This window comes from Homo sapiens, chromosome 6, assembly GCF_000001405.40.
Source record: "Homo sapiens chromosome 6, GRCh38.p14 Primary Assembly".
Lineage (NCBI taxonomy): Eukaryota > Metazoa > Chordata > Mammalia > Primates > Hominidae > Homo > Homo sapiens.
Genome location: NC_000006.12, coordinates 2,174,440 through 2,195,544, shown reverse-complemented (window position 1 = coordinate 2,195,544; position 21,105 = coordinate 2,174,440). Strand labels below are relative to the sequence as shown.

The window sequence follows — 21,105 nt, the reverse complement described above, 5'->3', positions numbered from 1 at the left end:
TTGCTTTGTAGCTTTCCACTTACATTAGGATAAAAAGAATAAAATGTCAAAGTATTTGCTTTACTTTAGAATATATATGCAGCAAAGTTCAAGAAAATTATCACAGTTCTCAGCAGACCAAGGCATAGCATCTCAGTTTTGGTTCTCATACTTTTTATATTTGAATCACAGAGTTCTTGGAATAGATTTTTTTTTTTTTGGCCTGATAGCCTTAAGGAATAATGGAAAATAAAACACTTCTTCAAAAATGTAACGTCTAATTTCCTATTTGTCTAGGTCTTTTTGCTTCAGAATTTTTGAACAGAATCATTAAGTACTATCGCTTCTACAGAAGAAGAAAAAGGAAAAGACAGTGAAATTCAAATCCGTTTTTTCTTTATACTAAGTCTGGTTAAAGCTTTTACTGGAGAAAAGATGCAAGCTTTTAAGCATGTGTTTTAAAATTACTATGATTTTACCCTTGCTAACTTCATGTGTGTATAATTACCTCAGAAAGGAAACAAAGATTTTTATTGATATTATTTAAAATAATGTTTTCTTTTTCTTTTTAGCAAAGTACAGGCTGATAATTCCAAAGGCTGTTTAAGGGGTAATTGTGGCTGACAGAGCAGCATTCACGGAACATCACTACTGTGCTTGGCTGGAACAGTGTCACTGTGTCTGAAAGTCTTGATAATGTTCAGTTGACTGTACTAATTGTCCTGTTTTATGCATGGCTAGCCAAGTGGTAACCAAGAGTTTTAAACAATGGATCTTTATTAAGGTATTAATTTTTGTCAAGGAAACTGACGTGATTTGAAAGAATGTTTACTGTGTGTGACACGTGTGGAAGAAATTGTTTGTGTTTTCCCCTCTTCCATGTTTAGGAAATAAAATAACCAAAAAGTGTGTGCGTGTAGCACTTTTTAACCTTAATTGTCTTTTATTTATATTGGTATCTTGATATAAAAATTGAAATTTGTTATAATGATAAAGAAATTAGAGATGTGAAACATGATTGATAAAGTAAGGAAGTAAAATTGGTAAAAATGCTTAAAGATATAATTTAGTGTTATAATACTTTTAGCTGAAATGTTTATTTATTGGGTTTAAACAACTATATATGTATGTGTGTATGTTTAAAATATATTCCATGAGGAATCGACCTTTAAGAATCATGAAGCATATTTTCCCCAACTTTCTTCACTCTTCTTTACAAGTCTTAATTTTTTGTATTGTGAATATTATAATGCCATTTCTCTCTGCTTTAATGTTCTTTTAAAGAACATTCAAAGATTACAGTGATTTAAAAAATTAACCTTGAACTCAAGAAGAACTCAATGGAGAATACAGAAGCACCTTAATCAATAGATGCCTTTTCCTCCCCTCACACACACACACAGTCCAAACTGCTGACAGAGCTGAGATTAAGCCAGGATTTCCTGAGGCATGGGAACTACCTAACTTGACTTACATCATGCTGAATTGAGAAAGACACATCATATTTATAATGCTTCTTTTTTTTTAAAAAAAAATAGCATTTTTGGCTGGACGCGGTGGCTCACGCCTGTAATCCAGCACTTTGGGAGGCCGAGCGGGTGGATCATGAGGTCAGGAGATGGAGACCATCCTGGCTAACATGGTGAAACCCCATCTCTACTAAAAATACAAAAAATTAGCTGGGCGTGGTGGTGGATGCCTGTAGTTCCACCTACTTGGGAGGCTGAGGCAGGAGAATGGCGTGAACCTGGGAGGTAGAGCTTGCAGTGAGCCGAGATCGCGCCACTGCACTCCAGCCTGGCAACAGAGCGAGACTCCATCTCAAAAAAAAAAAAAAAAAAAAAATAGCATTTTCACTAAGCTTCCACTATTCCAGGAATCCATCTGGCTATTTCATGTGTATTTGCCACCTTTACAATCCTAAAATGAAATTTGTGAATAACATATCCTAATTACACATGTTATTTAAAAAAATCCATATACCCTTTTTATGACAGTGAAAAAGGAAATGAAAAGCAAGTTGTTTGCCAGGAGAACTTGCATCTCAGTATTCAGATGTGGAGACCCTGCTGCCTAGGGTGTGGAGGAACTGCTCAGAGGCCACACTTTGGGAGCATCCCTGCTGTGGCAGCTGCAGATGCAGACTGTGGCACGTGGATGGCAGTGGAGACTCAGCAAGCACTGGTGGTGTGCTGTTGGTGTCATTGTTTCTTGAAATGGTCAAATTTGGTTAAATTTGGAATAAAATGGTAGTCTTCCTGTTTAACACATACTTTGTAACACATACGTTGTGCCTATGTAATAACTTGAGTGAGGTTTTACGCTCAGACAATTATAAACAGGTTTTTTACCCACGTGAATATTCAGCAGGACTTGAGGAAGTTGTGAGGAATGCAGAAGTCTTTGGCCGTGCAGACTGTCCTGGGTGTCTTAGGACCTCTAGTGTTCCTGGTTTCCACCCACTCAGTGCCAGTAGCATCCCCCAGTGATTGTGACAACTGAAACGTTCACAAATTCCCAAAACCCTCCTTAGGGATCCTGGGATGAGGGCTATCAGAGCCAATGGTTAAGCCCTAGCACATTTCTCTGCCACTTTCTGGAAATAGTGTTACAGGATCTTTGGGGTGTCATTTTTCTGGTTGGAAAGCTGTGGCCAGTGGTGTCTTTGTCCAACTTTTGTTTGGGCCTGCTGGGCTTGTTCCTCCCACTTGGCCTGGCAGGCTGCACTTAGCTCATGGTACCGGCCTGGATCCCACACCTCCAAGGGAGACTGAGTCAGGCGTGGACTGGCAAGACGTGTGTGAGTGAGTGCGGGGTTGGGCTACTGCACAGTCAGACATGCTGGCTGCTGCTGTGGGGCTGTCAGCTCTAGGTGCCAGCATGGGCACTGGCTCTCTGTGAGGCTGCGGCTGGACCAGGTGCACTGCAGACAGCTTCCCCAGCTGGCACCAAGGAATGCAATGGCTCCCAGAAGCTTGGAGATGCCAGGAACCATGGGGCCCCAAAGAAGGAGTCACAGCCCTGGCTTGGGGAGCTCCCAGGTCAGGGCTCCTTGAAGGACCACAGCTGTTCTCCCCTCTTCACCTGCAATTTGATGAGTGAGGAGCATGTTTCAGCCCTGTGTGTGTTACAGCTCTTTTAGCCTTGCCATTTAGTGGGTCCTGAGTTCTTGTCTTGTGACCAGGAAGACTGAGGTACGCAGACAAGTGGAGGGTGAGCAAGGCAAAGAGGAGCTTTATTGAGTAATAGAACAGCTCAGAGAAGACCCACAGTGGGCAGCTCCTCTCCATAGCCAGGGTGTCCCGATGAGTGTTCAGCTCCTAGCAGAGAGGGTAGCTCCTCTCTGCAGCTGGTCATCCCAACAAGTGTTCAGCTGTCAGCAGAGAGGGTAGCTCCTGTAGTCTGCAGCTGTCGGCACAGAGGAGGCCCTAGAGTGGGTGGCTTCTCTCTGTAGGCAGCTTGTCCCATTGTCTCTGCAGCTCTTAGCAGAGAGAGTAGCTCCTCTCTGCATCTGGTCATCTCATCTTCTCCCCATCCCCTGCCCTGCTCTAGCTGAGCCCGGGGCTTTTATGGGCCTCAGAGTGGAGGAAGTGTGTGCCAGTTGGTCCATGGGTGGTCATGGGCAGGCCCAGAAAAGTCACCATAAGCCTGCAGTGTGGTCTGTGGGACTGGTGGCCTGGCTCCCAGCCTTCATGCCCTCCCTGGCCTGAAGGTGGGGTCTCACCAGGGACCTACCCCCTTCCACCCCGGAGCCTGTCTGCTTCCTGCCATGGTCTGTGGTACCCAGGCTGCTCATCCATGGGGTACCTGCAGGCCAGCATCAAGCTGCTCTCAGTGTCCCCCTAGGTTCCACATCCCATGCTTGTCAGCACACAGAGTCTGGAGGGAGCTGAGGTGGCAGGACCCTCACATACCTGGCTGGGCTGTGACAGCTCCCCGGCTTGGCCCCAACCCCATTCGGAGATCATAGCAGGTGCCTGGAGCGGGGAGAGGCCAGACAGTGGAGGTAGGCACCTCCGAGCCTGCAAGGGCAAGGCGGGGGCCTTCCAGGGCCCCCAAGAGTGCAGAGAGGCCCGGGTCCACAGCCCCACCTGGGCGGCTGCAGATGTGTCTGGGAGGGCAGGGCTGGTGCCTGCTCCTGGCTCCCGGTTCCATGAAGCGGGAAGTCCCAGCTGTGCCCCCTTGCAGCCTGGGGGCTCTAGGTCCTTGCTGGGCCTGGGCTGGTGTCCAGGGACATCACTGTGAGCTCCCCCGTGGCCCCCGCACTCAGGGGCAGCCTAGAGCTCCCCCTCATCCCGCTTGCGGCCCTTCCCCAGGGGGTGCCTCCAGGAGCGGATAGCGGGTCGGGAGTGTCAGGCCCGGTGGTCACCCCATGCGGGGCGGACCCCTGGGGACATGGCTGTGGGTGGCCCTGTGCAGAGTCCTCTCTGGGGGCGCAAGAACACGGCACCCTTGGTGCAGTGGGCGTGGTGACCGCACCACTGGCTGGGTCCCTGTAGTGGGCACTGCTCCCATTTCCCCCTCCCGCCCTGGGTCCCCCAGTGCTGCCTCCTCCTGGTGCCCTCCCCGCAGCAGTTGTGGGTGAGAGTGGTGGTGTGGGGCTAGGGTCCGGAGCCACTGATGTTCCAGGCCTGGGAGCGGGTCCTGCCTGGCCACATGAGGGTGGGGGCAGCACAGTTTGCTGCCTTGGGGACACGGGGCACAGGGGACCCACCTTTGCCATTGCTGCTCCTGCAGCCGCTCCTGCTGCCGCCTCCCGCCACCACCCACGCCTCCCCTGCCGTGGACAGCCCCCTGCTGCCATCAATAGGACTGTTAAGAACCTTCTTTGTGATAGGCAGTGATAGGTGCTGCCAAGTGGAGGATGGTGCCACTGGTTTCCTTCCCCAAGAGAGTGCAGTCTTTTTTGCAAAAAAACATGTGCTGTGTCAGGGAGGGTGAGGTAACTTGGCCGCTGGTGGAATCCAGAAAAAAGTATTCTCTCCCAAATTGTGGCAGCCTCTTGGGGTCCTGTCCGAGAGGACACTGACCTCAGGAAACACTGGGTGGGAATTCTAGTTCTTCCCCCATGAGAAGTGAGACCTTGAGCAAAAACATGACTTGTCTGAGCCTTGGTGTTTTTATCTGTAGAAGTGAGGATCATGAGATTACTTACAGAGCAGAATAACTGTGAGAATTAAATGAGAAATTTTATGTGAATTTCACAGTATATTATAGTGAGTGCATAAAAGGTTTCCTTTTACTATTTTTTTAAACAAAAGTGAGAAAACAAGCAATCAAAATGGGGTTAGGGTTAGTCATACTAAACTATATTTGCTTTTATTAGAAACGTTTAAAAAATAAAATTCCCATAGTTTGCAATGTCAGGTTCCCATTCCACATTTGCTCTTTTTTCCCTGATGTGGTTATTTTCAGAAATAAAATATAAAATAAAAGCATTTTGTACTTTATTAAAAGTTGAAGGTTGAATGTTTTCCGTTGGCTGAGCTGCCTTCCTGAGCTTAATGATCTCACCTTGATGGGGTGGAAAAGGAGATGGGAGTAGTGAAAGGACTTGGAGCCAGGAGTCTATAAAAGGTTCACATTTGATACCACGAGTTACCCCATAATCTCACTGCGCTCCATTATTAAAACAGAAACGCTCTTACTACACATTGTTACCAACCCAGTAGTCCTGGAGTCATGAGTTATCTTGGTCACTTTAAGTTTGAGCAGAATTGATCTCTGTGTTGTAGTAGTTGTTACTTTGCCGACCTAGACCATCAGTTATGTAGTAGCATATCAAAGCCATTCCCCAGAACGGGTAGAATACAGACTGAGAAGTAATTATTTTCAAATGTGAGAGTGTGCTTCCAATCCTCCAGAGCAGTGTACTAGTTTCACATTCTGCAAATGTCCCTTCCCCCAGAAAAATGCTCTGGATGTATATTCAGAACTATGAAGGCAGGAGATTATGAAGTGCAGAGTGAGCAGAGCACAGAGGGCAGTGGCTCCCACCCTGGGCTTCTAAATCATAGGATTCCTGGGCCCCATCCCAGATTTACTTAGGATTTCTTAGGGTGGGACTTTTGGGGGAGGACAGGTTCCCCAGCTGATTCTGATGGTCATATGGATTTGGGAATCACCATTATGGACTGAAAAATTAACCCTCCGCATATAAGATTCTCCTGCATCTCCAGTTGTCCATTTGATATCTCTAAATCTCTCCCTAAATCTGAAAGTCACCACAGGTAAAACAACCCATCTGCACCCCTGACGGTCTCCTTCCTCTCAACCTACTCCTACCTCTGTTGTTTGCTTGGCTAACCTCCCTGTAACCCAGACTCAAAACACCAGTTGCCTTTGAACAGTTTTCTGCTCCCTTTTTTCCCTCAGACCAGTCACCGTGTGTTCTGTCTCTTTCATTTTTCTTATCTATCCTTGTCCCTTTCCTGTCCATGTTTTTATTAACCCTCACTTGGTATTTTGCAGTCTCATTGGTTTTACTGGATTCAGTGTTCTCCACCAGTTCATATAACTATGAAATTTGTTTTCTTAGAGCAGCCTTCTGATACTGAGTTCAGCTCTTCAGCCAAGTGTTCTAGCTTTGTGACACGGTCACCCCAGTTCTCTCTCTTCTATGTATGGCAAGCTTTGGCCATAGTGGGCTGTTGAGTGTTCTCTTACCTTACCCTGCTGATCTTTCTCCAGGGCCCACCTTGTTGTTTCTGGGTATGGCAGCCTCTTCCACGTCCTCACCTGTGGCTCTCCCACCATTCCTTATAACCCAGCTCAAATTTCATGCACTTAGAAGGCCTCATGGTTCCTCCTTTGCAACATGTGCCCTCGCCTGCCTCGCAGTCTTCTGTTGTATGTTATAATCAGTCAGTTATTGGCTTATCATTATGATGGGACAGTAAATTCCTTGAGAATCAAGACTTGTCATCTTGATATCCTGACACTTAGTGAGGAACCTAACCATTGTCGATGAAGCAATAACTTGAAATCTTTAGAAGTGAAATTACCTGGAACATACTTCATTGCTGCAAAGAGTACGAATTAAAACCTCTTAACTACTTTTTCCTACTTCAGTAATGAATCCCCGTCCATATCAAAATAGCATTTTTTCCCTTTGGCTCTCAAGGGGAGAGATGGATTAGTGACCAGCATATGATAGTTTCAGACATCCCAGATGAGGCAGCTGGGGAGACTAAAAGAAGGTTGCTGATACTGTTTTTATAGGCAGTGCTAAATTACCTTTGGTTTTGGAATTAAGGTGTTGAATAAGAAAGCTAAAATTATTTTTTGGCCATTGATGCATTTCAGCTAAATTGGACTTTGTGTCTGAGGAGACATTTCTGAGCATTTGGGTAAAATAACCGGATTTGTACTCCAGCTGTCTCCAGAGCAGGAGCCTCTGTGTGTGCTTCTTGATGCTTTGAGTCCCCCTCCTCGGTGGGCATGTTGCCCCCAGTGATGCAGCAGGTTGTCAGCCTGAATTGAGAACCAGCCTGCATGTGTATGGAATTGACTTGTCAGTTATTAACAGACCTGGGTTAGTGTGCTAATCATTACCATCCTAAGCTGAATGCTCTGCAAGGAGGCTGAAGGCTTGACTGTTCTCCTTTCCTAGGCAAATTACTTGTGGATATTGTTTCCTAGGATTTTAGAGGCAAGAATTGAATAGTGATTCTGAAACGAGAGTGGTGGTTTGAATCCACAATTTCCTGTTCTTTAGAAATTTTATTGAAGCCCTTTTTAAATAACAGTCTCCTTGAATAAAATAATTTCAGTGTGAAAACCTTTCTTCATTTTCTCCTAATGTGGATGCTATTTTTCTATTGTCTGTTGCAGTAAAAGAAAGGCAGACAAAAGTCACAGCCTAGGGTTTAAGTCTTTACTGTTCTACTCGTTTGATGTGTCATCTTAAGCAAAGCTTTCTCAAATTTAAACCTTAATGTTCTTTTCTGGAAAGTAGGCAGAGTGATGGTGGCACCACTCTCATAGGATAGGATCTCATGGTGGATTAAGTGAAATGAGGCATAGCAAGCACTGTATCTCTCAATGTAAATTTTTTCTAAATAGAACACTGTGAGGAGGCATTTTTGTGTTTCTTCCATTTTGCATTTTGTCTCAGAGCTCACTACTTCTCTAAGGAGTAGTTTAGGTCTGCTTGGATGAGAGTCAAGCTTGTGACATGACTGTTGGTGCCATAGGTAAACCAAACTGAGAGAAATATGAACATTTGCTGGTGATAAAAGAAGGAAACGTACTTCCCACAGGTCTTGTAGGCCACTGTGACTTCATCCCAGACCAGTGGGGTAGAAGTGAAGTAGAATCTGAAGACAGGTAGGGGCCACTCCTTGGCCTGAGACAGGAACGCTTTACCTGCACACCAGCCTGAGACATCTTCCTGCCTCAGTGCAGAAAGGACCAGCTGAAGCCAACTTACTCATCCATTTCTTTTGTGAACTTTGCTGATGAATGAAGAATATCTCTGTCATTGTAAAATTCATACAATATACACAATATAGAGGAAAATAGGAAATACGATTGACTAAAGAGCAAGAATCATTTAGGATGTTTTAATGATCTGGTAAAGTTTTTACATTTATTGTTTTTAAACATAGAGAATCACTAATGTTTAATAGTAGACTTTTTATCGAAAGTATAAAGCTTATCCACATGCATAATTATAAATATGAAATATATGTACACGTATATATACTATTTGTGCAATGTGGCAAATCCAAATACAGACTTCTTTTAGGCACCCGTTTTAAACTCCAACAGTGAGAGAATTAGTACATAACCACTCAGTAATTTCAGTTCTTCACCTTGATTAGTCAGATCCTCCTAAGCGAAACTGTGTAGGTGGTTGTGTGGTTTTTAGTACTTGCTTGACAGAATGGATTTTTTTTCTCTAAATTAATAAATATACCTAAACAATGGTCTTCAGTGTGTATTAGAGCAAATGCTTGAAGGCAGCTGGAAGGGACATCAAATACAGAGATGAAGTTCTTTTAGCATGTTTAATTTATTATGGAAAGGCTAGCGAACACATTGTTTCTGCAGAAGTAACTGTAGGGGCTTGTTATAGATTCCTCTTTCATCCAGGTTGATTCAGATATTCAAGTGTATTAATGGAAATCTTTAAATAGTGCCCTTTGCCTTATTTTGGGAATCAGCTAAGTTGAGTAGGTAGACTTATGCCAGATTTCATTAATTGGTATTTTTGCTAATTTTAAGGGATACTTAAAAATATCCCCTGATTACAGTAACATAAACATCTGAAGTGATTTTTGAATTGCTACACAAACAGTATTCTATTAACATTGTACATTAAAACATTGCAGCGGTCCGCATAGGCTGTGGAAATGAGTAGATTTCATTTTCCTACATTCCCTTTATGTTTCTGTTTGTACACTTGGTTTTTACATGGCAAATTTCATTGGTTCCTAGTGCCAGTTTGGCTTCATTAGAACCACCTGGCAACTCTGTTCACTACAGTTTGGGTGACTTGAAGCCTAGCCAAGTTTGGGACTCATTGGTAAGAACATTGTATTTAATATAAGAATTTAATAAATATATGTTAACTTATTTTTTGAGAATTATTACTAAACGCGTGGTTCTCAGTTTTCTCATTTGTAAAATGGGAATAATAACAATCTGCAGAGTTTTGGGGGAGATAATGAGTTGATTGAATGACAGTGGAAGGAATGTGAGCATATTCTAGAAACTCAGGGTGCAGCCCCAGCCTTACTACATAGACGAGGCTGATGTGTTCTGAATGGGGACCTTATTTTAATCACAAGCTGATGAGGCTTCAGGAAATTGGGTTATGGATTTGTTAGGTTTAACATTATCTTGGCCCTAGGGTGGCAGTATTTAGGCATTGATTACATCTTGGGTGGCTCTTTTAACTGCTCATCTGAGACATGTGGGTGAAGGAACTTGCACACAGGGTGGAATGACACAGGGCAGCCTTGGTACACATCTGGGCAGTTTAGCTGTGGAAAATGAGTAAAATGGCTGTAACTGTATTTATTGTTGTTGGCTCCAGACACTCGTTGAAGATGTTTAACTCTTCCACATTGTTGGATCCTCAGAGTTGGTATCTCAATGTGTACCAATTTAGAAGTAATTATTTTGATTAAAATATTTGGTTGGTGTACAATACAAAGAATACGTAATGTAAAGTGCAGTAGTTTTGAGGAAGAAATGGTGGTGTACATGAGAGTCAGAAGTACCACATTGGATCAGATGCATGCCAATATGCTGCAGCTGGCGGTGACCACAGGCATGTTTTGTAGGAGGATGTTGTTGTTGATATCAACTTTGAAAAAACTTAAGTTTGTTCAGTAATTGTATCCCAGCTTTCATTTCTTCCTCCCTGATTAGGATGCATTTGGCATACTTCACTGCTTAGCTAAGTGCTGAAGATTTTTCAGAACTCAGGAAAAACCGTGGAGTCAAATCTAAGTTTAAAGCTGGCTTTGCCTTGTCGGCTTGACCAATAGCCTATCCTCCCTGGGCCTCCACCATAGAACGTGAGCCCTGTGAGTGCAGGGATCTTGTCTGTTTTGTTGATCGCTTCAATTCCAGTGCCTAAAACAGTGTCTGGTACAGATCAACACATAAATGAATAGCGACTCTAGAGTGTGGCAAGTATTGTGAAAGGAATTAGCTTGGTGGCACACTGGAGCAATGTCACAGTCTTATCTGCTGACAGTTGTGTGCTGATTACAATGGTTCCCAATGGTATAAACACAGAAAACAAGAGACTTTTATGGTAATATGATAGATTTTTTGACTGTTAATGCTGATAATGAGAATTTTGGGCTTGTATTTTATATGTTTTTAAAGTTACATTTTTAAAAGAAAATTTTTTATTGAATTTTTACAAAAGTTTTATGACAGATTGACAATGAAAAACAATGGGTCCTTCATCACAGATAGTTTGGGAAGCACCGTGCTAGAGAGTGACAGGGAATGATAGCTATGTAGGTCCGGGCAGCCTCTCTGAGCTGAGATTTGAACTGAAATCTAAAGTCATCAGAGAGGACCTTTCTAGGCAGAACAAATAGAAGTGCAAAGACCTCAAAGTAGCAAAAAGCCTAGTTAGTGTGTTCAAGGGATGGAAAGAGGCCAGGAGTATAATGAGGAAGAGAATCGTTAAGAGAGGTGGGGGGAAGGTAGGCAAGGGCCAGATCTTCTAGGGGCTTAATTGACTTGGTCATGAGTTTTAGTTTTATTCTTAGTGCCAGTTGTTGAGTGGAAGTGGTGTCTCACGTGTGGTTTGAGATCACTTTTGCTGCATATGGATTTTAGGGAGCCAATAGTGAAAGAAAATATACCTATTAAGAGGCTATTACAGTAGTCAGGCGAGAGATGTTGGAGGATTGGATAAAAGTGTGGGCAGAGAAAATGGAGAGAAGTTGACCGCCTGTATGATACAGGCATACCTCTGAGATATTGTAGATTTGGTTCCAGACCACTGTGATCCCAAAGTGAATATGACAATAAAATGAGTCACATGAATATGTAAGTTATATATAACTTATGCATATACAAGTTATATATAACTTATGCATATATAAGTTATGTTGTGCATATATGTTATGTTGACACTGTACTGTAGTCTATTAAGTGTACAGTAGCATTATATCTAAAAAATGTACATAACTAAAGTATATCTTATGCTAAAGAATGCCAGTGATCATCTGAACCTTCAGTGAGTTGTAATCTATTTGCTAGTAGAGGGTATTGCCTCCCTTTTAGTGGCTGCTGACTGATCAGGGTGGTGGTTGCTGAAGGTTGGGGTGGCTGTGGCAATTTCTTACAATAAGACAATAATAAAGTTTGCCACATTGGTTGACTCCTCCTTTCACAAAAGATTTCTCTGTGCCATTCAGCTGTTTGCTAACATTTTACTCACTGTAGAACTTCTTTAAAAAAGGGAATCAATCTTCTCAAACCCTGCTGCTGCTAAATTTATCAACTAAGTTTATGTAATACTCTTTGTTGCTATTTCAACAATGTTCATAGCATCTTCACCAGGAGTAGATTTGATCTCAACAGACTACTTTCTTTGCTTATCTATAAGAAGCAACTCCTCAGCCATTCAAGTTTTATCATGATATTGCAGCAATTCAGTCCTATCTTCAGGCTGCACTTCTGTGGTTCTTCCTCCATGGCAGTCTTGACCCTCTCAAAGTCATCCATGAGGATTGGAATCAACTTCTTCCAAACTTATGTTAATAAGTTCCAAACTTATGTTAATGTTGCTATTTTGACCCTTTTCCATGAATCATGAATCTAGAATGGTGAATCCCTATCTAGAAGATTTTCATTCCATTAGATGAATCACTTGCTGTGGCAGGTATAGCCTAAGAAAAATGCATTTCTTAAATAATAAGACTGAAAGTTGAAATTACTCCTTGATCCATGGGCTGCAGAATGGATGTTGTGTTAGCAGGCATGAAAACAACATATTAACCTCCTTGTACATCTCCATCAGAGCTCTTGGGTAACTAGGTACATTGTCAGTGAACAGTAATGATTTGCAAATAATCTTTTGTCTGGGCGTGGTGGCTCACACCTGTAATCCCAGCACTTTGGGAGGCTGAGGCAGGCAGATCGTTTGAGCCCAGGAGCTTGAGACCAACCTGGGGAACATGGCGAAACCCTGTCTCTACAAAAAAATACAAAAATTAGCCTGGCATGGTGATGCATACCCTATAGTCCCAGTTACTCGGGAAGCTGAGGTGGGAGGATGACTTGAGCCCGCGAGGTAGAGGATGCAGTGAGTTTAGATTGCACCACTGTACTCTGGCCTGGGCAACACAGTGATACTCTGTCTCAAAGACAAGTAAATCTTTTGAGCAATAGGTCTCAATAGTGTGCTTAAAATATTCAGTAAACCAATTTGTAAACAGATGTGCTGTCATCCAGGCTTTGTTGTTTCATTTATAGCACAGAAACATAATAGATTTAACAAAATTCTTAAGGGCCTTATAATTTTTGGAATTGCAAATAAACACTGGCTCACATAAGTCAGCTGATTAGTCCCAAACAAGAGAGTCAGCCTGTCAGTTGAAGCTGTGAAGATAGGCATTGACATCTCTGCAGCTATGAAAGTCCCAGATGACGTCTTCTTCCAATAGAAGACTGTTTTGTCTACATTGAGAATCTGTTGTTTAGTGTAACCACCCTCACTAATTATGTTGGCTAGATATTCTGGCTGACTTGTAGCTTCTCTATCAGCACTTGCTGCTTCAGCTTACACTTTCATGTTATGGAGATAGTTTTTTCACTTTGGCCCCATGAACCAACCTGTGCTAGCTTCCAGCTTTTCTTCTGCAATTTCCTCACCTCTCTCAACCATCATATAATAGAATTGAAGAGAGTTAGAGCCTTGCTCTGGATTAGGCTTTGGCTTAAGGCACTGTTGTTACTAGTTTGATCTTCCATTCAGATCACTAGAACTTTATCCACATCAGCAGTAAGGCTGTTTCACTTTCTTATCATTTGTATGTACACTGGAGTAGTACTTTTAATTTTCTCCAAGAACTTTTCATGTGCATTCACAGCTAAGCTAACTGTTTGGTGCAAGAGGCTACCTTTCAGCCGGTCTTGACTTTGGACATGTCTTTCTCCCTAAGCTTAATCATTTCTAGCTTTTTATTTAAAGTGAGAGATGTGTGACTGTTCCTTTCACTTGAACACATGGAGGTCATTGCTGGGTTATTAGTTGGTCTAATTTCAATGTTGTTTTTCTAAGGAAGGGGGAGGCCTGAGGAGAGGGAAGAGGGAGGAGAGTCAGTTGGTGGAGCAGTCAGAACACACATGACATTTTCCGATTACATTTACCATTTTGTATGGGCTTGGTTTGTGGTCCTGGTTCCCCTAAACAATTACAGTGGTAACAAAGATGACTGATCACAGACCACCACAACTGACATAATAATAATGAAAAAGTTTGAAATACTGTGAGAATTATCAAAGTGTAAAATAGTGACATGGAGCAAGCACATGCTATTGGAAAAATGTATGACACAGGATTGCCACAAGCCTTCAGTTTATTAAAAAAAAGCAGTGTCTGGGAATTGCAATAAAACGTAGCACAGCAAAACAAGATATGGCTGTAATTTGAAATAGAATTGGTAGGATTTGCCGATGGATTGGATTTTGTGAGTAAAGGGAGGAGTTAAGAATGAATCCTAAGTGTTTTGATCATTTGGGTGAATACAGATGCCATCTGTCGAGCAGAGACACTTTTTGAGGAGAGAGGTAGGTGGGAATTAGGAATTGAGAGGTATTAGTTATATTCCTTGCTGCTGTGTACCTTTTTAATGAATTCTGTTAAACATGGAATTTCATCGATCTGTCTTTTTTTTTTTTTTTTTTTTTGAGATGGAGTCTCGCTCTGTCACCCAGGATGGAGTGCAGTGGTGTGATCTCGGCTCACTGCAAGCTCCACCACCCGGGTTCATGCCATTCTCCTGCCTCAGCCAGCCTGAGTAGCTGGGACTACAGGCACCCAGGTGTAGTCACTACGTCTGGCTAATTTTTTGTATTTTTAGTAGAGACTGGGCTTCACTGTTTTAGCCAGGATGGTCTCGATCTCCTGACCTCATGATCTGCCCGCCTCAGCCTCCCAAAGTGCTGGGATTACAGGCTTGATCCACCGCACCTGGCCTTCATCCATCTGTCTTATGTACTTTTGTTACAAATGACTTGGAGAGGAAATACCTAATGAAGTAGGCTTCTTGGACCTCTGGCTGGTTCTAACAGTTTAAAAACATTGGAGAAAGAAATCTTGTTTATCAAATATTTTGGAAATTCTTTGTAAAATTCTTTGGAATTAATGGGAGGATTTGTTCACATTAGCTATTATTTGTTCCAAGGTGACATCTTGCTCTGTATTTATTTATTTATTTATATATAATTTATGTCTCAACTAATTCCACAGAGGAACAAGTTACTCAAGTAGTCAAGTATAGATAGATATTGTGGGCTACTATATAGCTTTATCACAATTCTTCTTAAGTCAGTGAGAGGAAAAAGGGAAAAATTCAATTTTTCATATTCTAAGTCTTGAACTTTATTTTCCAATTTTTATGTTTGCTAACCATTTTTTTCTTAGTACATTCAAAAGATGAAAAGATCAAAATTTATTGTCAAACTTGGAATTACCACACTGGACCTAGCCCCTGGTCAGGACAGCTGAGAAAGCAGATTAGTTCTGGTATATACCTTTCTCTGTAGCATTAGTCTTTTCAAAAAGATCTAGGTGCTTTATGTTTGGTTTGTGCTCTGTAAGTTGAGATCTTGACATCCTTCATCTTTTATTTCCCTGAGAGAGGTACTTTGATATTTTGAAATATGCCTTTGACATTGCACAACCTCTGGTGTCTATGCCTATGGTGGTAGCCAGCCAGTTGCTAGTCCTCTGGCTTTGTTTTCCTCCTGCATTCCTGAGCAGTCTTGAAGTACCCATTTGGTTTCATTTAGACCACAGATCCAGAGGAACTGCTTGGTCAGTCCACCTGCAGTTAACCTGTTCTTTGTAATGGGCACTGGTAGGAAATTGTGGTGTTACAATGCATCTTTCTCATCTTTAAATGTGATCAGATAGATGGGTGTATCACCTTAAGTTTCATTTCTATTTCTAAACGATGGGTGTTTTGAGATAGATGAGTGTTTCAGGATATTTGTATGATCTTATGGACTCACATTGGTATAAGAAACTTCAGGGCTTCTTCTAAATGTCTGATAGATGGGTAGATAGATAGATGGGTTTATCACCTTAAGTTTCATTTCTATTTCTAAATGATGATTTTACTGATTTTACATACTTTGGCAGTATCTTAATCTGTTTGTGCTACTGTAACAAAATACTACAGAGTAATTTATAAATAATAGAAATTTATTTCTCAAATTCTGGAGGCTGAGAAGTCTGATCAAGGCACTACAGGATTGGTGTCTGGTGAGGGCTGCTCTCTACTTCCAAGATGGTGCCTAGTCATGGCATCCTCTGGAGGATGTTCTCACGTGGGAGAACAAAAGAATGAGAATGACTCTCTCTGAAGCCTCTTTTATAAGGGCATAATTTATTTGTGAGGACAGAACACTCATGTCTTAATTACTTCCCCAAAGGTGTTTCCTCTTAATACTACCACAGTGGGCATTAAGTTTTAACACATGATTTGGGGCAATATTCAGGCTATAGCAGGCAGTAATTATAATTTCAAAATGGAGAACCCTAAAATATTTTTTTTTTGGCATAACCTTTTTGTCTTCTCTGTGGACCTTGATACTGTTACTTCTTGAAATCAAGTTTTAAGATATTTTGAAATGTTTTATTAGAGAGCCAACAACCTCTTGTTTCTCTAAAGGAGTTATCTTAGATTTAAGTTGGATTGTTCTGTAATATTTGTACTATAACGTTTTACTGTGTTTACGATGCTCATGTGCATGTACTATGGTGGTTTGCATTTATTTCTCATCCCGTGGATTTCATAATAGTATTCTTGAGGACAGGCAGCATTCTTATTCGCTGTTTATGCCACATGAAGAATGAAATTGTCTTTTGCACAAAGTTATTCAATGGAAGAATATTGAGAGATTTCAAATTATTCTGTTCTGATAATGACATCTCCATTTGTCTATACTTGTTTGTGGTATACACCATTTTTTAACAAAGAATATTTCCAAGGATGTTTTGGCATCAGAATATCATTGTTAGTCTGGAAAGTCAGGGCCTGTGGATGTTCAAAGACATTGAAAAAGGGGAATTAAATATGAAAATTCTTTTAAATCCTGACTTAATGCCAGCTATGTTTCTTGATTTAAACTTTTATTTTAGATTCATGGAGTACATACACAGGTGTGTTACAAAGGTACATTGTGTGATGCTTAGGTGTGGAGCGTGAATGAATCTGTCACTCAGGTAGTGAGCATAGTGCCTGATATGGTTTGGATTTGTGTCCCTGCCTAAATCTTATGTTGGATTGGAACCCCTGGTGTTGGAGGTAGAGCCTACTGGGAGGTGATTGGATCATGGGGGTGGATCTTTCATGAATGGCTTTCATGAATGGCACCACCTACCGGTGGTGTTCTCTTCAAACAGTGCCCACGAGATCTGGTTGTTTAAAGCATGTGGCACCTCTTCCCTTTCTCCTCTTCCTCCTGCTTTGGCCATGTCAGACATGCCTCCTTCCCCTTCACCTCCTTCCACCATGATTGTAAGCTTCCTGAGGCCTCCCCAGAAGCCAAGCAGATGCCAGCATCATGCTTCCTGTATAGCCTGTGGAACCGTGAGCCAATTAAACATCTTTTCTTTATAAGTTACCTAGCCTCAGGTATTTCTTTATAGCAGTGCAAGAATGGACTAATACAGTACACAATAAGTAGTTTTCCAGCTGTTGCTCTCCTTCTTCCCTCCCGCCAGTAGTCCCCAGTGTCTATTGTTCCCATCTTTAGGTCCATGAATACCCAATGTTTATCTCCCACTTATATGTGAAAATATGTGGGATTTGGTTTTCTGTTTCTGCTTTAGTTTGCTTAGGATAATGGCCTTCAGCTGCATCCATGTTGCTGCAAAGGACACAATTTTGTTCTTTTTTATGGCTGAATAGTATTCCATGGTGTATAGATACCACGTTTTCTTTATCTAGTCCACTGTTGATGAGCACCTGCGTTGATTCTATGTCTTTACTATTGTGAATAATGCTGCGGTGAATATTCAAGTATGCATGTCTTTTTGGTAGGATGATTTATTTTCTTTTGGGACTGTCTTGTTCCAGTTCTGAAGGGGAATGCTTCCAGCTTTTGCCTGTTGAGTATGATGTGGGCTGTCATCTGATCATACATGGTTCTTATTATTTTTAGGCACGTTCCTTTGATGCCTAGTGTTTTGAGGGTTTTTATCACGAAAGGATGTTGGATTTTATCGAAAACTTTTTCTGTGTCTATTGAGATGATCATGTGGTTTTTGTTTTTAATTCTCTTTATGTGGTGAATCATATATATTGATTTGTGTATGTTGAACCAATCTGGCATTTCAGAAATAAAGCCTACTTGATCGTGGTGAATAAACTTTTTGATGTGCTGCTAGATTCAGTTTGCCAGTATTTTGTTGAGGATTTTATGTCTGTTTATCAGGGATATTGGCCTGAAGTTTTATTTTTTCGTTGTTTTTCTGCCAAATTTTGATATCAGGATGACGGCCAGCTATGTTTTTATTCATCTGATTGTCTAGTTGTTTTTGTCTTCATAGTTACTACCCCAAACCCAGTCTACTTTCCTGATCTCTCCAGATTATACGTACTGCAGACCCATCTGCTTTAACAAAATCTTTTTCCCACTTCATTGAGATTAAGTCTGCCCTTAGGTGAAGTACCTTCATCCCTTCATAATCTCTCTGTGGTTTAATGGTCCCCTTCTTCTTAGTCTCTGAACAGGAAAACATGCCTCCTGCTTACCAAGGCTGGCGTTCCAACTGCGTTCTTGGTACCAAAGACTTTTCTTACTGGATCCAGCTCCATTTATTTCCTGCCCTTTCCTGTTTCTCTCTTCCCCATCTGCCTACAAATTTTCTGAGACCATCCCTTTCCTAAAAGAGCTCTCTTCCTTTGTCACTGCTGCCTGCTTAGGTTGCTTTCCTAACCTGCTTGCCTTGATGGCCACATCTTTTCGAGGTGTCCCCTCAGTGCCAGGCCTTTTACCTGACCCTTCTCCCTCCTTGGCCCTGCACTATAACCTGTGTGCAGGACTGCCCTAGCACTGAAAGGTGTCTTCTGCAGGGAAGGAAGCAATTACTTCTGGGCCAATTCCCACTTTACTCCCCAGGATTGTCTGGGGAGAGTTTCTGAGAGGGAGTGTGAGATGAAGGATCTCTCCATATGGCTATTCTTTCCCACCTTTCTTGCTTCCTTGCACTCTTCACATGCCCTCCCCTCCTACCCCAACCAGCAGATCAGGTTGTCTCTACACCTTGCCTAAGTTAAGCCAGTAGGTGGTTTCTATGAGCTTTGCTCTGCTTCCTTCCTGGTTTATTCCCACCCAACCCCGAATTTCCTCCAAGTTAAGTTGGTTTACCAGACACTGGGTTAGGAACTTCATGCTTTAATCTTTGCTCGACTTCATGAAACACTGCTCACTTCACAAACATGTGAAACAACTTAGCTGAAGTAATGCAGCTGGGAAGAACCAAATTTCTGACATCAAAGTCTGTTTTTAACCATTGCTGCATTGTCTTAAGTGCTTGGAATTCTTTCCACAGTGAGATAAAATATTAAGAAAAAAAAATTTTTTTTAAGAAAAATGGGTTTTTCTAAACCATTTGTTTAGAAAATTGCTAATATATAATTAATAAATATAGTGAATCAGAATCTGTCCTGTTTTGGTACTATTTGTCAATCAGCAAAAGTAACTGATGTGGGGAGGCAGTCATCCCTGGTTGTAGAAGGGGGGCTGGACACCAGAATTACATGTTGTCAGTGTGCATTTAGCTGTAGTCACATCTGCTGTCTTCAGCCTCTTGACAGTAAAGCATCTGTGCTCTGAGGCACTTTTGTGTGATCCAGTTTTGTACACAGGCAGTTTGTTGGGAGCGTTACCATTGCCTCTGGTTCCTCATGTGTAAAATGGTGAGAAAATAGTATTACCTTATAAAATGGGGCTAATCATAGTGCCACAAGCCTGATAGGGCTGTTTATGTGGGTTCATGAACTTACGTGGGTTCATGCATAAGGTGCTTACAACATGTTTTAAGGGCTATATAAATGTTAGCTATAAAAATAATAATTACTCTTATTGTTAATAGAAATTGTTATTGGATATTTTATTTATGGTAACATGAGAGGGGCAGTGTATCTGCCTTTGTACGTGTATTAAAACCAAAGCATGCTCATTTCTCAGGAGCTCTGTTCTGTGAGGCTTGGGTAATGACAGTGTGAGCATGACTGGAAAGTTAAATTGGAGAGGGGCAATTCATTGAGTGAAATGATACAACCTCTGCTTCTTGGTTCTTCCCAAGCTGAGGTATAGTAATGCTGCTCTCTTTTTTCTGTCGACACAACTCCCTCAGGAATATCTGCAGAGTAGTGGGTCTGATGTCTCTTTTGCTTAACAGTTTTTACATAGTAACTTTTCTACCTCAAGTCCGAGGTGGCATATGTCTTCTTGGAAAAGAATTTCCTCTTTGAGCTCAACAGTGACAGGAACCATATTTTTGTTATTCTTTAGACTGCTTAAATTGCTGAGACTTTTAAAGGTTAATAATATTTTTATCCACCTTCAATTTTTCAATTTACTGTTGTTATATTGCATAACATGTGCTGTTCTCTTTTTGAGTTAATATATTGTAAGTTAACTTACATTAATAAATAAAACATCTCCTTTTTCAAGAAGCAAAAATGTGATTATTTCATAGATCCCCAAATCATCCAACCATAAGACTTCTCAAGAGATCTTTAAAATTATTACTTTGCACTGTGTTTCAAATAGCTACCCTCACCCCCCTTCCCCTTCAGATGATGAGATAGTTCCTCTGGTGTGGTCTGTGTGGCCTGCCTAGAGAGCCCTGATGCCCCACAGTGGCTGTAGACCTGGCCCCAAGTCCTGAAGGCTTCTGCCTTCCCAGGTGCATGTCTTATCCTGTTTCCTATATTTCATATTTGTGGTTGAGCCTTTAGAAACTAGGCACCATTCGGCCAGGCATGGTGGATCATGCCTATAATGCTAGCACTTTGGGAGGCCAAGATGGGCAGATCACTTGAGGTCAGGAGTTCGAGATCAGCCTGGCCAACATGGTGCAATCCCGTCTCTACTAAAAATACAAAAAGTTAGCCTGGCATGGTGGCACGTGCCTGCAGTCCTAGCTACTCGGGATCCTGAGGCAGGAGAATCACTTGAACCCAGGAGGTGGAGGTTGTAGTGAGCCGAGATCGCACCACCACACTCCAGCCCAGGTGACAGAGCAAGACTCCGTCTCAATTTAAAAAACAAAACAAAACAAAACAAAACAAAAAAAACTAGGCACCATTAAATTCTATTCCTGTTTGTGGCTATTCTTTGATTGTCTCAACAATACTTAAGATGAAAAAATAAAGTTTTAAAAAATTTAGCATGGTCTTTATC

General features: G+C 41.7%; 1 protein-coding gene across 11 annotated transcripts in view, besides 1 other annotated feature; it reads left to right on the top strand.

Annotated features, from left to right (window-relative positions):
- GMDS (GDP-mannose 4,6-dehydratase) overlaps window positions 1–21,105 on the top strand; it is a 621,800-nt gene that overhangs the window by 50,061 nt on the left and 550,634 nt on the right. Inside the window, exon 1 of one of the 11 annotated variants that reach the window (NM_001253846.2) lies at window positions 19,554–19,613. The exons of the other annotated variants lie outside the window; for them this stretch is intronic. Coding sequence (NP_001240775.1) covers window positions 19,602–19,613 — 12 coding nt within the window. The 5' untranslated portion in view covers window positions 19,554–19,601. Of the gene's footprint in view, window positions 1–19,553; window positions 19,614–21,105 lie in introns of those variants that run through there. 11 annotated transcript variants of the gene reach the window in all.
- Window positions 6,236–6,530: a silencer, noted in NCBI's record as "tiled region #5333; HepG2 Repressive non-DNase unmatched - State 19:H4K20". NCBI's record gives its function as "represses a minimal TATA promoter and a strong SV40 promoter by Sharpr-MPRA in HepG2 cells {active_cell/tissue: HepG2}" and the evidence as "EXISTENCE:reporter gene assay evidence [ECO:0000049][PMID:27701403]".